The 18,763-nt window shown below is 39.6% G+C and overlaps 1 protein-coding gene across 2 annotated transcripts in view, besides 1 other annotated feature; it reads right to left on the bottom strand.

The window, feature by feature from the left end:
- ACADSB (acyl-CoA dehydrogenase short/branched chain) overlaps positions 1-18,763 on the bottom strand; it is a 49,285-nt gene that overhangs the window by 11,599 nt on the left and 18,923 nt on the right. The window contains exons 2-7 of one of the 2 annotated variants that reach the window (NM_001609.4): positions 12,177-12,336; positions 8,845-8,945; positions 6,020-6,226; positions 5,313-5,483; positions 3,521-3,646; positions 2,207-2,299 (exon numbers count right to left, since the gene is read on the bottom strand). In NM_001609.4, coding sequence (NP_001600.1) covers positions 2,207-2,299; positions 3,521-3,646; positions 5,313-5,483; positions 6,020-6,226; positions 8,845-8,945; positions 12,177-12,336 — 858 coding nt within the window. The remainder of the gene's footprint in view (positions 1-2,206; positions 2,300-3,520; positions 3,647-5,312; positions 5,484-6,019; positions 6,227-8,844; positions 8,946-12,176; positions 12,337-18,763) is intronic. The other variant, NM_001330174.3, reaches the window with a different exon arrangement.
- Positions 2,985-3,279: an enhancer, noted in NCBI's record as "tiled region #13327; HepG2 Activating DNase unmatched - State 12:CtcfO, and K562 Activating DNase matched - State 12:CtcfO". NCBI's record gives its function as "activates a minimal TATA promoter and a strong SV40 promoter by Sharpr-MPRA in HepG2 and K562 cells {active_cell/tissue: HepG2 | K562}" and the evidence as "EXISTENCE:reporter gene assay evidence [ECO:0000049][PMID:27701403]".

Genomic DNA, 18,763 nt, shown 5'->3' with positions numbered 1-18,763 from the left:
CAGTGGTTCTGAATCCGAGCTGTACCATAGAATCATTTGGGGAATCTGATTTAAAACAATACTGATACCCAGGCCTAATGACTGAATCCAAATCTTGGGAGTAGAGTAGGTGAAGGAGTGTGACCTAAACCTCAACTCTGTAAAACTCCTTAGTGACTTAATACACAGCTAGGGTTGAGAACAATGGATAGAAAGCATCTAGTAAAAACATTAATTTACACAGGACGTGGTGACAATTTTAGCTGAACTGTCTCACTGCTAACCAACTTTCATATCTATTATATGATTCAAGCTTAGAAATCGTTTCTAAATTTCAACATTAGGTAGCCACTAAATCAGTAATTATGTCAAATTATGGTTTTAGAAAATCAATAGCTAAAGCTTTTGGGGGAAATGCCCAGCAGACTTATCAATTTATTTCATTAGTATTCATTCACATTTTCTTTTAGTCTTTTATTCTGAACTCTCTAGAGAACAGAATAATATGTTAAAAATTAAAGGCACAAGAAAACCACAAACCCCAAATTCAAATGAGGCAGCAGACTCACTGCACTCTTGGCTGTGAGATAAGATGATGTCACTATACCCTTACAGCTAAAATTTGTACATAAATAATACCCTATATTGACACGAAGACTGAAATAATCAGTTATCCATCAAAATGGGCTTTTCTACCTCAGTAAAATGTTTCTACTACAAACACTGAAAAACTGAATTCTCTCTGCCTGCAAGGTTTCGAGGACAGATGCCTTCAGTTCACTGTTATACTCCGTGTGCCTCTTCCTCTCAAAGGTATCCACTGAGATAGTAACTACCTGATCTTAACTTTTAATTAGGTTATTATATAACTTGGAGTAATTAAACTGAAGCCCAGGCTGTGTATTTTATTGCCAGAACATCTATATTATTTATATGTCTGAAAAAAATGAGCTCTAGTATTGCAGTTTCTAATGTCATGTCTAAGTTGAATCACAGAAAAACTTTTAAGAGAACTGATAAAACAATATTCTTTAGTGACACACTGTCAAGCATTGTAGGAAAACTAGACTAAGTTTTGGTCTAAAAATAGTTAGCAAAGTAACAGCAGCAGAAAAAAATCTAGAGTAATAATCTAATATTTATTCCAATAGCTTATATGTAACATCTTCAAAACTGAAAAGCTCTAAGTTCTTGAGTTTTGTATAATCACTGATTAAAAATATACTCTACAAACGCCGGGCGCGGTGGCTCACGCCTGTAATCCCAGCACTTTGGGAGGCCGAGGCGGGTGGATCACGAGGTCAGGAGATTGAGACCATCCTGGCTAACATGGTGAAACCTCATCTCTACTAAAAATACAAAAAAAATTGGCTGGGCGTGGTGGCGGGCGCCTGTAGTCCCAGCTACTCGGGAGGCTGAGGCAGGAGAATGGCATGAACCCAGGAGGCGGAGCTTGCAGTGAGCCGAGATCGCACCACTGCACTCCGGCCTGGGCAACAGAGCAAGACTCCATCTCAAAAAAAAAAAAAAAAAAAAAAAAATATATATATATATATATATATATATATATATATATATATACACTCTACAAAACTGACACTAAAGTAAAGCCAAAGACCTTATTCATTTTGTTAATCTGGAAAATAACTGATATTACTTAATAGAAAAATGCAATATGCATTATAAAAGCCAAATTTGGTAAAAAAAAATTTTGAATAGTTCTCATTTTATGTATCTACTTAACTGTGGCTATTTTATTTCATGTGCCGCCAAAAAACTTGCCCAGTTTTCACATGCAAAACAGTAAGCAACAAATCTTTTATTAACTATAGATATCTTTACTACACAGTGGAAGGAATATTATTTATTCTTAATGTAAAAAATTCCTTCCAGAATGAATTTCATGCTTTGAAAAGTTGATTTTTTTTAAAGTGCCATATTTAATTTACAATACATTTGAAAAGCTATCGGTTCAGGTATTAGATAATACTTTAATGTTCTCAAAGCAGAAACACTGTTACCACCAAGCCATTGTTTGGTTCTATGGACACTTACATAATTGACCAAAAGGGAATTTGAAAGAAATAATAAGCCATTCTATCCCTCATGTAAGGGAACGGTGCCATCTTGTGTCCATAAGCTTCCAAATATTCATTGGTCTCATTGCATTTTTTTCTTTTCACAGTTTAATTGACTCACATCATGGAAGAGTTTAAATCTGACTTACCTGTGCAGCAATTCCTATTCTACCTTCATTGAGACTCCCTATGGCATACTTATAGCCATGTCCAATTTGTCCCAAGATATTGGCTTCTGGAACCTGAAAATACAAATGTGCACTTATTTCTCAGTTTCATTTTCCATGATTCATTTTGATTATATATTTGTAAGTACACATAGACTCTCAATTCGTGTGCTAGCCCTCTCACAGAACTTGCCGGCATCTGTGTCTCCCTCTACGCTGTTTTTCCACAGCTCTCTGAGGAAAAGGACTCAAGTCCATGCTGTTCATGATTGCATCCTCCAGAGCCTTGCACAGGTATTGAATGGATGAGTGAATCTAGAGTAAGGGAATCTCATAGAATTCATCAATAACATAAATTAATACTTTTCCCCCCCAATTCTTATCTGTAGGCTACAGTGTGAGATAACATATTAGGAACTACAAAGATCTGCAAATACTTGCAAAAACAAGTGTAGTAAGCCTTTCTGCTGTTGAGACCATTCACCCTCATAAAAATCAACGGTGGGGTATATGTGTGTGTGCATGTGTGTACACAGGTGTATGCACAAGAAAGAGGAAGAGAGAAGAAACAGACTAAAATGCTTATTCATACTTTAAAAAAATAAAGAATTAAGAATAATAAAAAACTATACTTAGTTTTGTAATATGGGTAGTTGGGGGAGAGAGCAGGGAAGAATGGAGAAAGAAATGGGAAAGTAAGAATGAGGAAAACAGTTGGGGTGAAGTAATGAGGCCCCAGTGACATCTGTAAAGACATCCTCCCCCTCACTCCCCACAGCCATGCAAAAAAAAGATCAAGCTCTGTGATGAGTGGTGGAAAAGCCGACACCACCTGCCCCACCTACAGGGAGTTCTCCAGCATCAGCACTAACTATCTGGATCTTCTGCTGCTCACGTTTAATAGCCTGGCTGTTTCCGCTCTCACTGAGCAACACCCCCATCTTGTGGCCTTTAGTGCACTGACACCAGACTTCCTTCTCTGCGGCCCCATTTGGTTCACAAGTCTCAAGCTTATAAAGTATACGTGGTCAGAAGCACATAAGTTATAAAACATAAATGGGATGAATTCTTGGCACTTGCTTCCCAGGACAGCTTCTTGGCAGAAAGGTTTCCACTTTTGTGAAAAGTACATTTATCTGGTCATGACTAAAGAGCGCTGTTCAGGGTTTTACAAAATACTCTCCTGCGTGTGCTTATAGCCACTTAGTATTTTGACACCTGTCTTGCACACCTCCTGTGGTTCCATGCAAGGCTTATTTCGCATCAGTCTTTTACTGATTAGTCTACGATACCCACCTTGACATTTTCGAATGTTAACGGGCAGGTGGAAGAAGCTCTGAGCCCCAATTTGTTTTCAGGTTTCCCTATATGAAGGCCCGGAGTATCACGATCTACTAAGAAGGAGGTAATTCCCTTATATCCCTAAAAAGAAGAATTAAAACGCTATTACCACTTGGATTTATAAAACGCCTTGTTTCTGAAGAGTTTAAGTAAAAAGAAAACTAAAAATGGACTTTGGTAATAAATACTAATGGACTCAGAATTGCAACATGGGCATTATGAAACGAGAGCAGCTAGAGGACATTAGATCCAAACTATAGAACCTTACCATTTGTTTCACTTTTTCAGAGACCATCATAAATATTAAAATTATTATTACACTATTATATAATCATGAGAATGTCATGTTCTCAATTTAATTTTACTATATAAAGTTTTAGGCCAGGTGCGGTGGCTCATGCCTGTAATCCCAGCACTTTCGGAGGCTGAGTCGGGCGGATTACCTGAGGTCAGGGGTTTGAAACCAGCCTGGCCAACATGGTGAAAAAACGTCTCTACTAAAAATACAAAAATTAGCTGGGTGTGGTGGCAGGCACCCGTCAGGAGGCTGAAGCAGGAGAATTGCTTGAACCCAGAAGGCGGAGGTTGCAGTGAGCTGGGATCACAGCCTTGCACTCCAGTCTAGGCAACTAGAGCGAAACTCCGTCTCAAAAAAAAAAAAAAAAAAAAGTTTTAACAATTTAATTCAATTGTTACATTAGTGAAAATACTGTATTTACTGGTGAAAAAATGTATTTATTATTTTGCTATATGTCTATTTTCCAACTGAATAAAATATTCTTAAAAATAAATGTACTAAATAGGTACTTAAATTCTTCATTACTAAACAGAAATTGGAAATTCAACAAAATTAAAGATTAGGGCCAGGTGCAGTGGTTCACGCCTATAATCCCAGCAATTTGGGAGGCCGAGGCAGGCAGATCATCCGACGTCAGGAGTTTGAGACCAGCCTGGCCAACATGGCGAAACTCTGTCTCTACAAAAAATGCAAAAATTAGCTGTGCGTGGTGGTGCACACCTGTAGTCTCATATACTTGGGAGGCTGAGGCAGGAGAATCGCTTGAACTCAGGAGGAGGAGGTTGCAGTGAGGTGAGATCACACCACTGCACTCCAGCCTAGGAGATACAGCGAGACTCCATATTAAAAAAAAAAAAAAAAAGAAAAGAAAAAAGATTAGCTTCCTACATAACCCATTAGGAGCTAAGTAACAGTTGGTCCTCCACAAACAGTCATCCCTCCATATCTGTGGCGGAGTGGTTCCAGGACCCCCATGGATACCAAAATCTGACAGTGCTCAAGTACCTTACATAAAATGGTGTAATATTTGCATATAACCTATGCACATGCTCCGGTAGACTCTAAATCATCTCTAGATTATCTGATACCTAACATAATACATGCATGTCACTTTATTCACGTGAATTCAATATGGTAGTTGGCACAAAGCAAATTCAAGTTTTACTTTTTGGAACTTTGCAGAATTTTTTTTTAATCAAATATTTTCAATCCAGAGTTGGTTGAATCCACAGATATGGTGGGCCAATTCTAATTAATAATTTTGTCAACAATATTTACTTTAGGAGATTAACGAAGTGAAAAAATGCCAGCTCAAGTCTGACATTTTCAGTACTGAGAAGACTAAAGAGTTCAAGATGAAGTCCTAAAAAGGAAACAGAAGGAGGAAAAGATAAAGAAAGAGAAAAGAAGGGGTTTGGAAAAAGAAAGAAATTTCGTTTTCAAACTTACAATGGTAGGGTCTACATTTGCCATCACCAGAAAGAGCCCTGCGTGCTCAGCACTGCTGATCCACATCTTTGATCCATTGAGGACATAATAATCTCCCTCTTTATCAGCTCTGGTCTTCAAAGCAAATGAGTCACTACCTGCTCCAGCCTCTGAAAGGCAGAAACTTCCTACCTACATATGGGAGAAAAAAATGTCCAAATTAATAACTGTATTTATACTCTGTATAACAAATACTTATGGAAAAATGGACATTTGTAAATCAAATCTTTAGCTGCTTTTTTAAAAAGCCTATATTTATGAAAATAGCAATGGTATTCTGAAAGTATTATTTTCCAAAAAATATACCCTATTTGTCCAAGACAAATTTAAAGACTCACGAACACATACTCATTGAAATTGATTTGAATAATTACAGCAGAAAGACATCACAACGTAAATGAAACCATCAACAAACGTATTAGAAAATATAATCAGGACAAAAAGAAATAATTTTATTATCTGATGATTATTTTCTAAATTTCCAACTGGCAAATAAGAGGTAGAGTGTACTTTTCCAGCAGCATTAATTTATCAAGCATTGCTTGAATTAATGATACCGCATTGTGGTCTTGGATAGTAAAGTCGACATTGCAGCTACTTTTTTCCTGAAAATATTGTAAACTTACTAAAGATTAGATCCATTAGATCAACAATTCATCTCAACTCACTTTTTCTGTAGTGAGCTGAGGCAAATAGGTGGCCTTTTGTTCTTCTGTTCCATGTTTTCTAATCAGTGTGTTAATTAATGTGTTCTGGATCTCACAAAAGACAGCCACAGATGCATCAACTTTGGCTAATTCCTCTATCACGAGCACAGTGGATAAAAATGAAGCTCCTGTGCCTCCATATTCTGGGTCAACTTCAATACCCATCAACTAAAGAAAAAACAAGGCAACATAGATTAAGAAAGCTATTTTTATATGGGGAAATTTCTTGCATGAACAAGTTAAAAAATAAACTGTAACCATATTTATTATTATTATTTTTTTTTTGAGACAGTCTTGCTCCGTCTCCCAGGCTGGAGTGCAATGGCGCAATCTCAGCTCACTGCAACCTCCACCTCCTGGGTTCAAGCAATTCTCCTGCCTCAGCCTCCCAAGTCACTGGGATTACAGGTGCCCACCATCACACCCAGCTAATTTTTTTTTTTTTTTTTTAGTAGAGATGGGGTTTCGCCATGTTGGCCAGTCTGGTCTCGAACCCCTGACCTCAGGTGATCCACCCACCTCAACCTCTCAAAGTGTTGGGATTACAGGCGTGAGCGACTGTACCCAGCCACCATAATTATTCTTAATTTTAAAATTTTGTATTTATATTTTATTTTAATTTGGTATAGCAATTTTGCCATAAGTAACAAAAAAATCTGTAACAGAAACTGTATATTTGAAAAGGATAAAATTATATGCTATCATTTGCTTCCTTTTGGGATTCAAAAAATAATGAGAGGTAAAATGCTTTAAAGGGTAGCTTAATGGAATGAGAAAATATCTTATATACTTAGATGACCTTTCTTGCTAAGAACTGTTGTTGCCTGCTTAAAGCAGGTAGGTGGGGTTTTGATTTTTCAACATGCCCTACCCACCTTATGCTGATTTCAATGTAATAAGGAAACAGAAGAAAATAACCTACTCCTCAATGGGATGTCTATAGTTTCATTTGGCAAAGTTTCTTCTAGTCAGGCTCTTTCACCTTGACTTTTTCAGCCAAGTTAATAATTGAATGACCATTCCTTTTACGCCACTTCATAAGTTCAGGATGGTTAGCAGAGAACATGTGGTGGTGTTTGCTAGAGCCACACTAGCCAAAGCACGAGGGCCTGGTAAACACGACCAGTGCCAGCCAAGCCTTTCCAACGACCCAGTTCCATCGTTACTGAAACTCACATAGTACTCTCAATTTCACAAAGAGAATGTGTGCATGTGTAATTCAAAACCCACAGCTGCTAACAGAAGGATAATTCTCTTAGTCTCTCTCTAGACATTCCTGGAGTCACACTATGCTGCAGTCAGGGCTGTGGCTGTTACATTTTGGGCTACAACAGGAAAAGGGAACCAGAAATGCGAGCGACTGAATGGTGAGAAAACCAGAAACGAGGAAGAACGGAAGGATCTGGGTTTGCCTGAGAACTGAGGAGGGCACTCCGGAAACCTCATTACAATGACTCGAACAGATATCAGAGACATTGCTTCTCTAAAAAAGTCACTAATCTCTCCCAACGTGGAAATAGTGTTTTTGCAAGCCATTATGCCAAAAACCCAGGACAATGGGAGTGAGGAGGCAGGTGAGGCTGCATCTGCACAGGAGTGGTTTGTGGAGATGAGTAGCAGGGTGCAGGCAATGCATCACTCTGCAGACAGCCCCGCTGCAGGAACGACCACCGCGGGGGAGATCTCACACTGTGAAACCGTGAGACTGCTCCCAGAAGCCTAGAGGGTCTGCAAGCAATAGAAATAAAACCTGGCTGAGAAATGGACTCACAGAGTCCATCTGTTCTCCACATCGGCCTCCTGTTTGACCACTATGGTTCCACATAAGATTCCAGTTTCCTAAGAGTTTGACTGCTAAAAGAAAGATGGAAGAATCACTACTACACACGGTATAAAAAAGCTGGTTGCTTTAAAACAGAAATAAATAAAACTATCTAGCTAAGTGGCAATGGTTATTTTTCAAACCAGATGGCAGACAAGATTTAGGCCAATGGCTCTGAATAGCAGCCACTTGTTCTGGGACATCTTTAGTATTAAAAATTAAAAAAAATATATTTTATACCTCTGCGGAAGTGAGAAATGATGCGTGCAGTGATTTTTAAAATGTTCTTCTAGAAGCCCCTATGCTAATAGCCCCTCCCCCTACTCACAGTGAGAGCGGTTTTACTTGTATCTATTTCATACGTTGTATTTCCATTAAAGAGCTATGTGACTTGAGAAGATGGGAATCTGTTGCCCGGTTTATGTGGAATTCATGTATCACCTCTGCTTCTAAGTTTATCACTTATATAGAGCTTCAGGTAGAATATAAACTATGCTATGAAGTTTCACTATCTAAAGTAGGGTTTCTTCATGGTGGCATTGGGTTGGATAATTCTTTGTTGTGGCAGTTGTCCTGTGCACTACAGGATGTTGAGTGGCATCCCTTGTCTCTATCCCACTAGATGCCAGTAGCACGCCTTAGCTGTGGCAACCAAAGATGTCCCTAGACGTTGCCCAATGTCCCCTGGAGGGCAAAACTGCCCCCATTTGAGAACCGCTGGTCTAAAGATACAAATAAATTACCATCTTACTTCCAAACTTTTCCTTAAAATATACAGTATTTCAAATTAAAAAATGTTAATTCCATTTTTAAGAACTTTTAAGTACATAAATATCAAGTAGGATTTCAACCAAAAAAAGAAAACAGATAATTTTGACTGGGAAATGCAGGGTTCATTATGCTATCATTACAGTCCCTGAATTTAATTATAGAAGCTTGAAAGTGGAAGAATTATGAAATGTACCCCTTGTTGAAATAATCCTTGTATTACTGATTTCTCCATTTTCGAATTTTCATCCATGGTTGAAACCAAAGGTGCAATTTGTTCCTGAGCAAATTTTTTAACTGTAGGAAAAAGAATTACTGATAAGTCTATGTTAAAGTGACAGTCACATTAATAGTTTGCTGACAAAATTTTACATTTTAACTAAGTTAAAATATACACAGGTACCCTTCTTATATTTTTAAAATAGAATTTATAAAGTTTTCTTTTTAACATAGAAAGGTGTAGTTTCCCATATCCCTTTGTAACTCTTGATGACCTCACAAAATAAATGATATGTGTAGATGGTGCAAAAACACAAGCAATAAAGAAAGCACAAAATGAAAAATGAAAGCCATTTCCACTCTACCCAAAGGTGACTAATTTTAAATTTATTATGTATTCTTTCTGAAAACTTTTCTTTGAAAATCATCTATACTTAACTGTACACATACATGTTCACACAAAGGAATCATGAGATACACACTGGTGTGTGCCTTGCTTCCCCTCAACTATATCTTGATGATCTTTCTATGTCAGCATATCCCATCTAACCTGGTCGTTTTCATAGCTGCTTGGTCATACAGAACAGGGTTTCCCCACCTTGGCACTATTGACATTTTGGGGCAGGTGAGTCTTTGTTGTGGGGCTGTCCTGTGCATTGCAGGATGTTGAGCAGCAGCCCGGCCACGGCCCCACTAGCTGCCAGGAGCGTCCCCTACTTCTAAGTTGTGGCAATCAAAAATGTCTCTAAATGTTGCTAAATGTCCGCTGGGGGCAAACTTGCCCCCACTGAAAACCGCTGTTTCATTTTTTAATGTTTTTAAGACTTAGATGCATTTATAAATCATTTTGATGAAAACACCTTCTTAAGTTTACTACCAATGTAATACCAAGTCGGTAGAGAAGGCAACCGGGTTCAGTGCATGTGGCTTGCTTCAGTATTCCTTCGTTTCTGCACACGCGACTCTCATTATGTAGAATCTCTTCCCTTCCCTTGTCCAGCTGGCCAACTGCACTTTGTCCTTCATGGTACAGCTCAAGCTCCACACTCTCTGGGAAGCCTTTCCTGACTGCTTCCTTAGCCCACTTCTGCCACGCCTAGCAAAGTCTAGGTGTTCTCTGCTTTGTTCCCCAAATACCTCCATGACATTTACCATGTTATTCTGAAACTATTTCCTTTATTCGACTGTCTTTGCCACTAGATTCTGAGTTCCTTAAAAGCAGTGATTTTTTTCTTGCCCATCTTTATTGCTTCTGTGCTTAGACTAGGTGGATACTAAAGAAATAAATAAGACTGAAGACAGAGAATCAAGATACTCTAAGCAAATTCTTTGATTTATGTAAACTAACCACTCACTCTTGTTTTTCCTTAGCTATCCCAAACTCACTTCCCTGAGACCATATCTAAAAGGCGAGGGAGCAAAGGAAAAGAAATTTACTAGCTGGGCGCAGTGGCTCATGCCTGTAATCCCAACACTTTGAGAGGCCGAGGTTGGTGGATCACCTGAGGTCAGGAGTTCGAGACCAGCCTGGCTAACATGGTGAAACCCTATGTCTACTAAAAGTACAAAATTAGCTGGGCGTGGTGGCACACGCCTGTAATCTCAGCTACTTGGGAGGCTGAGGCAGGAGAATTGCTTGAACCCAGGAGGCAGAGGTTGCAGTGAGCCGAGATAGTGCCATTGCATTCCAACATGGGCAAAAAGAGCAAAACTCCCTTTCAAAAAAAAAAGAAAGAAAAGAAATTTACTTATTGTGACAGAGTTCTAAGACAGTGCCAAGATTCCCAGCCGCTGGTGTATACATGTCCTCTCTCAGTTATTCAAACATGAATCTAAGTGCTGCTGTGAAGGGATTTTACAATTAAGCTTCCAAATCAGCTGAACTTAAAACATGGAGATTGGTGGGCCTGACCTAATCAGGTGAGCCCTTAAAAAAGGTGGGGCTCTTTCTGGTGAAACAGGTTTTAAGGATGAGAGAGACTCGATGCTGGGAGGGAGAGTTACTGGTTTTGAAGATGGAGGGAGCCACATGGCAAGGAATACAGAGGCCTCCAGGAGTTGGGGACAACCTCTGGCTGACAGCCAGCTGGGCAACAAGACCTCAGCCCTGCAACAGCAAAGAACTGCGTACTGACACAACCACGGGAGCTTGGAAGGACCCTGAGCTCTGGACGAAAACACAGCCCAACTGACACACTGATGTTGACCTTCTGAGACCCTGCGCCTGGACTTGCTCCAGCTGGACTTCTGGCCTACAGAACTGTGAGCCACTACACCGGTGCTGTTTTAACTTGTTAAGTTTGTAGTGATTCAATACCAAGCAATAGAAAACGAATACACTTAACATCCATATTCTCTAAGAACAACATTCTGATGTTCTGCTATGGATTTTTAAATATATCATAATTTTACACCTATATCTATACCCATAAATAAATGAATGCAAACTGCTTTAAGGTTTAGTGGTATACAACTTCTGCTTCATTTGGGCTCCGTGTTTCAACCACAGGTGTTTCATAGATAAAGGTAAAATTGAAATTCCACGTAAAGTATGAAAACCCACTATCTAGGCTGGGCATGGTGGCTCACGCCTGTAATCCCAGCACTTTGGGAGGCCAAGGAGGGCAGATCATGAGGTCAGGAGATCGAGACCATCCTGACTAACACGGTGAAACCACGTCTGTACTAAAAAACAAAATACAAAAAAACTAGCCAGGCGTGGTGGCACGTGCCTGTAGTCCCAGCTACTCAGGAGGCTGAGGCAGGAGAATTGCTTGAACCCAGGAGGCAAAGGTTGCTGTGAGCCGAGATTGCGCCACTGCACTCCAGCCTGGGTGTCAGAGTGAGACTCCATCTCAAAAAAAAAAAGAAAAAAAAGAAAGAAAGAAAGAAAAAGAAAACCCACTATCTAAAGAAAAGTGGAATATAAATGTACTTCTAACTCTGCAAGGCTATATAAGAAACTGGTAACAAGGTGGCAAGAACTGGGGAACTAGAGAACATGGGTGGGAGAGTCTTCACTTTTAACTACATAGCCTTTTATTCTGTTGTTTTAATATTGGATATGCATTGCTTTTCTTCATCACAAATTTAGATGAACATATCTTTCAATCCTGTCATATGTGACTTCATATTGTAGACCCAATTCATGACCAGAGGAATAATAAGGTGATATTTTTCCAGCTATTCAGGAGGCTGAAGCAGGATAGCTTGAGCCCAGAGGTGGGGCTGCAGTGAGCCATGATTGCACCACTATGCTCCAGAGATCCTGTCTGGGGAGAAAAAGGTGACACTGATAAATTTACTTACCTGAACTCTTTATCATCATTTCCTCATCTGTAAATGTTTGCAGGGGAGCAAAGTGTATTCCATTATTTGTTATATTGAGTAGAGCTTCTGACTGGGAAGATTTTGAGACATGAGGAGGAATCTTCCAAGAAGACAAACAAGTCAGGAAATTTCTTCTTAGCTGTAGGGAACATACACACATGAAAGAAAGGTACTTGAATATCATTTTCTTTGGGAATGACTTTATAACCCATTCTTATATTTCATGTCACCAAAATAAGGAAACTTAACCTAGCGCATTTTTAAATTCAGTCTTTTAAACATAACACAAATTAGTTGTTAACATGATGTGATACCTTCTTTATCCAGCTATGAGCTGTTTTAAATAAACAAATTTCCCAGATAACTAACTTTTACCAATCAAGGAGACAGAACTTTCTCAAAAAATTTCATTCTCCAATGTATTTCACATTTCACTGACATTTTAGAAGGGGAAACTGGAACTATAGCACCACTGATGTCTAAAACTCACCATTATCAAGAGCCTTCTCTTGTGAGGGCACAGAGCTACCTGCCCTTCCCTGCCCTGAGTGGGCCCAGGGAGCTGGGGAGGACATAGAGCTACCTGCCCTGTGCTGAGAGAGCCCAGGCAGCTGGGCTTTTGTAATTTCCGTGGCTAATTTTTTTTTTCAGCATCTTACAGGCAGCATAAAAATTAAGAAAATAACCTCTGAAGTCTGAAAGAACTAGTTTCAAATCCTAGCTTCTGATATTTAATTTATGTGGTCTTGGGCAAGTGATTTTTAACCTCTCAGTTAAAACCTCTCAGAGTCTCAGTTTCCTTACCTGTAAAATGCAGGTACCAACCTCTTGGAGTTTTGTGAGGATTAGTAAGACCATCCATAAAAGGGCTGAGCATATAGTAAAGAGCTCAATACGCTGTAATGACTATTTCTACACAACTGCTAAGAACACAGAAGTGGAGGTTGTCATCACAGAAACAGCAGCAGTAACGATCTAGTTAAACTGCCAGCCATCATTGCTTGCCATGAGAGTGCCTTCCTGTTGTAGTGTCCCAAATCCTTTAACAAATGCAGTAAAATACTGAAATATGTTTTCTGAGTAGTTTTGATTACACGCTGAAAAGTCAAGAAAAAGAGAAACTGTGGACGAGTCACTACGTTTGAAACCACTGTCAATCTTTGCTGCATGTTGGTCACTCTTTGCAACTATGTGCCTAGGAGCAGACATACTCTGCTCTGGATTCACCCGGGAACAAGAAACACTGGCCAGTTAGAAGAAAAGTGGTATGCGTCTCAATTTTCCTAGCTAATTGTTTTGTTTTGTTTTCAGAAGTAGGAGTCAGTTTGGGGCAAAGTTGCACGGAACATTTTTTCTCATTAAAGACAGAGTTGGGACAGGAAAACTTTGGGCTAGAAAGGAGGACAAAGGGGACATAAGGTATTTTCTCCTTGATGAGATGGACAGGAAGAATTAAAAAGAAGGGTAAAGGAGAAGTGAGGTAAGAATCGAAGTGCAAAGGGGCTCAAGAAGGGGAAGAACGCTGCTAGCAGCAGCAGGAGAGAATGGTCAGTGGCAGCTGGCACGAAGAAAGAAGGAAGAAAGGGGGGAAAGAATGGAAATTGGAGGCCAGGCATGGTGGCTCACGCCTGTAATCCCAGCACTTTGGGAGGCCCAGGCGGGCGGATCATCTGAGGTCGGGAGTTCAAGGCCTGCCTGACCAACATGGAGAAACCCCATCTCTACTAAAAATACAAAATTAGCCGGGCATGGTGGCACATGCCTGTAATCCCAGCTACTCGGGAGGTGGAGGCAGGAGAATCACTTGAACCCAGGAGGCGGAGGTTGCGGTGAGCCTAGATTACATGACTGCACTCCAGCCTGGGCAACAAGAGCGAAACTCCGTCTCAAAAAAAAAAAAAAAAAAAAAAAGAATGGAAATTGGAGAAGGAAGAGAAGTAAGCATGGGGGCCAAGTCCGCTCACTGGCTGGTGGTGGAGCCTTGAATGGGGTTCTTGATATATATTTGAATGAATGAAAGAATGTGTCAACTAGGCTTCTTCACAAAATGCTCATGAAACTTACCTATTACATTTCAAAAACTATAATACATTGCCCACATTTCTTATTTCTAAGGGAGATTATTTACTTCACTAAACCTGTGACAGAATTCTATGTGTCTGTTAGTTAATATATCACCTTTGTACCTAAGTTTATCTTTAAAAGAAAGCTCACGAGGCCGGGTGCAGTGGCTCACACCTGTAGTCCGAGCACTTTGGGAGGCCGAGGCAGGTGGATCAATAGGTCAGGAGTTCAAGACCACCCTGGCCAAGATGGTGAAACCCCATCTCTGCTAAAAACTACAAAAATTAGCTAGGTGCGGTGGCAGGCAACTGTAATCCCAGCTACTCGGGAGGCTGAGGCAGGAGAATTGCTTGAACCCCAGCGGCAGAGGTTGCAGTGAGCCAAGATCACACCACTGCACTCCAGCCTGGGCGACAAAGTGAGACTCCATCTTAAAAAAAAAAGAAAAAGAAAAGAAAAGAAAGCTCACTACTGAGAAACTTAAAAGCCAGTGGATCTTACATTAATACCTATTTTTCCCACGGACACAACTGTGAGCCTCTTGATTTCAGTATTGCTACTGACAAAGTATAGGACCATTCAAAACATAGCAGTGATTTTAGATTCATAGACACAATAACAGAGACAATTGTACTTAAAAAGGTTAGAAATGGTATAGGATCACAGGGTAAAATTATTGAAGATGCTCTTCATAAAATACAGTGACATATGCTAAGTGAATGGAATCCATTTTTAACCAAAGCATTGAGAGATATTACCTAACATTTTTCGGCAGAAAAAATTTTCCATTTATTAATACTATGACAGTCTTTAATAAAAGAAGCTTTTCTTTTCCTGGCCTTTGACTGCACAGCCTGATGTTTTGATGTTGATTTTCTAATGTCCCCTGCCCTTCAGTGTTGACCTCAGCCTTTGCAGCTTTGGTGTCCTCTCCATCAAAATGATTTTCCACAGTTATAACCCATTGTACCACATCATCACATTTTTTTGTATAGAACAGCAATTGCTACTTGAATGGAATAATGGCTATTTATGCCTTGCCAAATACTTTCCAGAGCTTGAGTCTGATCTGTTTCTTACTCAACTGACCAGAGTTCTGTTGCACTTAGAAGTGTTGATGATCAAATCTGGGCCTCGTGGACAGAATAATAAAGTCCATGAACTTGGATGTGGGTAAAATTACATCCTCATTTCACTAACCTCTAACTAAAATACAGCATTTCCTTCTATTATGAATGTAAGCAACAAGTTACAGTAGTTTTAGCAGTATCTGTGACTCTGTCATCAAAAGAAATTACAGATACTTTTATATCACATTGATTTGGTGCAAATATCTTGAAATATTATTTGTGCTCTTCACTACTTCAAATTCACAGCAGTTATCTGTGAATAGAACTACTGCTATATCTTATTTAATTAACAAACACACATTACTATATCACAATTAAAAAGTATTTTTATATCTAGCGTCTTTGGGGAAAAAAATAGATTGATTTCCTTTGTAACCCTCTATATTTTATGCATTTTGAATCCTTGAGAAAAGGTCTATAAACTTTACTACATTGTTGTTTAATCTTGTGGTTTACTCTTCATTCAAGACACAAAGAAGGTTAAGAACTCCTGACTGTGGAATGTTCTGGTAAAGGCTCATTTGTGAAACCCAAAAGAATTGAGTTAGTTCCCTTCCTCCGCTATGCTCCAGCATAATGAAGTATTGCTCTAAACATTCTTAAAGTGCTTTAAACCTAGAAGCTTTCACAATATATGAAAGGCAAAGGAAGACATATCAGAGATATTGTGTTGTCTCCTGAAGCTTCTCCCCAACTACTTGACCCTTAAGAGTTAGGAAAGGTTGTGGGGAGAAAGAAGAAAATTTTTTTTCTTTTCTTTTTTTTTTTTTTTTTGAGACAGAGTCTCGCTCTGTCACCCAGGCTGGAGTGCAATGGTACGATCTCAGTTCACTGCTACCTCAGCCTCCCAGGTTCAAGCAATTCTCTTGCCTCAGCCTCCCAAATAGCTAGGATTACAGGTGTGCGCCACCATAGCTAGCTAATTTTTTCTATTTTTAGTAGAGATGGGGTTTCACTGTGTTGGCCAGGCTGGTCTTGAACTCCTGGCCTCAAGTGATCCGCCCATCTCGGCCTCCCAGAGTGCTGGGATTACTGGCGTGAGCCACCGTGCCCAGCTAGAAAGGAGAAATTCTTATACTCTGTGGGTTGAGTATATAAATCACTGTTGCAATCACTTTGGACAATTTAGTGATAGTAAAGATAAAGACATATGACATGGTTTGCATGTGTCCCCTCTAAAATTCAGATGTTGAAATTCAATGTCATAGTATTGAGTGGGGGGCCTTTAAGAGGTGATTAGGTTATGAGAGCTCCTCCTTGGGAATGAGACTAAGGCCCTTATAAAAGAGGTTTCACACAGCATCAACCCAGGCCCTTCCGTTCTGCCAAGTGAGGATGTGTGAAGAAAGTCTTCCCCAGACAACCGAACCTGTGAATGGATCTTGGAATTCCCATTCTCCAGAACTATGAGAAATAAATTTCTTTTCTTTATAAGCACCCAGTCTATGGTATTCTGTTACAGCAGCGCAAAGTGAATTAAAACAACATATTTACAGTAAGGCCCAGCAATTTTACCTCAGTTCATATGCACAAGTAGACATGTGCAAAAGATGCAGTGATTTTTGTAAAGGCAAAACACTAAAAATCCAATTACCTGTCAACAAAGCATGCATAAATTGTCATATATTGATGCAACAGAATATCTTATAGCAGTTAAAGGGAACTAGGGAGCTACGTGGATCAACATGGACAAATCTTGAAAATATAGTATAGAGTTAAAGATGCAGTTAGCGAGAGGATTTGTTCAGGATGACAGCATTTATGTACACTTTAAAACACCAAATGATAGTACATATTCTTATGAGGACATAAAGATATAGTAAAAGTTTAAAAACACAAACAGGAAGCATACAGATGAGCTTCAGGATGGAGGTTGTATCTGAGGAGAGGGTGGAAGTGTGAGTTCTGTGTTAGCATTGTTTTCTTTCTTTTTTTTTTTTCTTCTCTTTTTTTTTGAGACAGAATCTTGCTTTATCACCCAGGCTGGAGTGCAGTGTCGTGGTTTCAGCTCACTACAAACTGCACCTCCTGGGTTTAAGTGATTCTTGTGCCTCAGTCTCCAAGTAGCTGGGTCTACAGGTATATGCCACCATGCCCAGCTAATTTTTGTATTTTTAGTAGAGACGGGGTTTCACCATGTTAGCCAGGCTGATCTCGAACTCCTGGCCTCAAGCAATCTGCCCACCTTGGCCTCCCAAAGTGCTGGGATTACAAGCATGAGCCACCATGACTGGTCTGTTTTATTTCTTTTGAAAAAATATGTAATATTGCTTCACTTGACTAACCTTTAAAACAAATCTGTAGCAAAGGTGGGTTGTGTGTATATGGGTATCAGTTATATTAGTTTTTGGACTTTTCTGTATATTAGAAATATTTAACAAGAAAAAACTTTAATTAAGAAACTTTACATAGTTTTTTCTTTCTGTTTTAGAAATAGAGATGGGGTCTTGCTATGTTGCCCAGGCTGGCCTTGAACTCCTGGCCTCAAGTGATCCTCCTGTCTTAGCCTCCCAAAGTGCTGAGATTACAATTGTAAGCCATTATGCCCAGCAAAAATTTTAAGACTTAAAAGTATGTACAATTGCCTGAACCACGTATGCTTTGGGATTTCATTTTCATTTTATTATTTTATTTTTTTGAGATAGGGTCTTGCTTTGTCACTAAGGATGGAGTGCAATGGCAGGACCATGGCTCACTGTGGCCTCTACCTCCTAGGTTCAAGCAATCCTCCTGGCTCAGCTTTCTGACTAGCTATGACTCCAGGTGTGCGACACCACACCCAGATAATTTTTTAACTTTTTGTAGAGACAGTCTTGCTATGTTACCCAGGCTAGTTTCAAACTCTGGGCCTCAAGTGATCCTTCTGCCTTGGCTTCCCAAAGTGCTGGGATTATAGGCCTGAGCTACCATGCCCAGCCTGTTTTCAAAGGGATTCAAAGTAGGCTTGCTTTTAAAAGCTAGGAGTAGGTTTTAGATAATGTGTTTAGTATGACACAGAACAATTTTAAGGATAAGATCCTAACTGCTGAATATTGTTACAATAATTAAACTAGTTTATTACAGTAACATTTACCAACTAATCTATTAGTGTCTGAGAAAGAATGTCCCTGAGATTTAAATCAGTGTGTAGCCTCCCCAGGCCAATCTGATTCCATTTTTATGTAACAAAGTGGTGAGTTGTTTTTCAGTTGTCATGGACCTCAGGTTACATAAAACTGGGCATACCCAGATGAATCAAGCATGCAACCACAAAGAGAACCTAAGTGCTGGGACTGAGGAGTAAGGACTTAATTATTATAAGAAGTGGACACTTTATGGCAGGATCAAGGATCTAATCAGATGAGCTCCTGGGTCACACCCTGGCAGGATCTG

Source organism: Homo sapiens, chromosome 10 (assembly GCF_000001405.40).
Source record: "Homo sapiens chromosome 10, GRCh38.p14 Primary Assembly".
NCBI lineage: Eukaryota > Metazoa > Chordata > Mammalia > Primates > Hominidae > Homo > Homo sapiens.
Note: the sequence above shows the minus strand (reverse complement) of the source record. Positions and strands in the feature narration are given on the sequence as shown.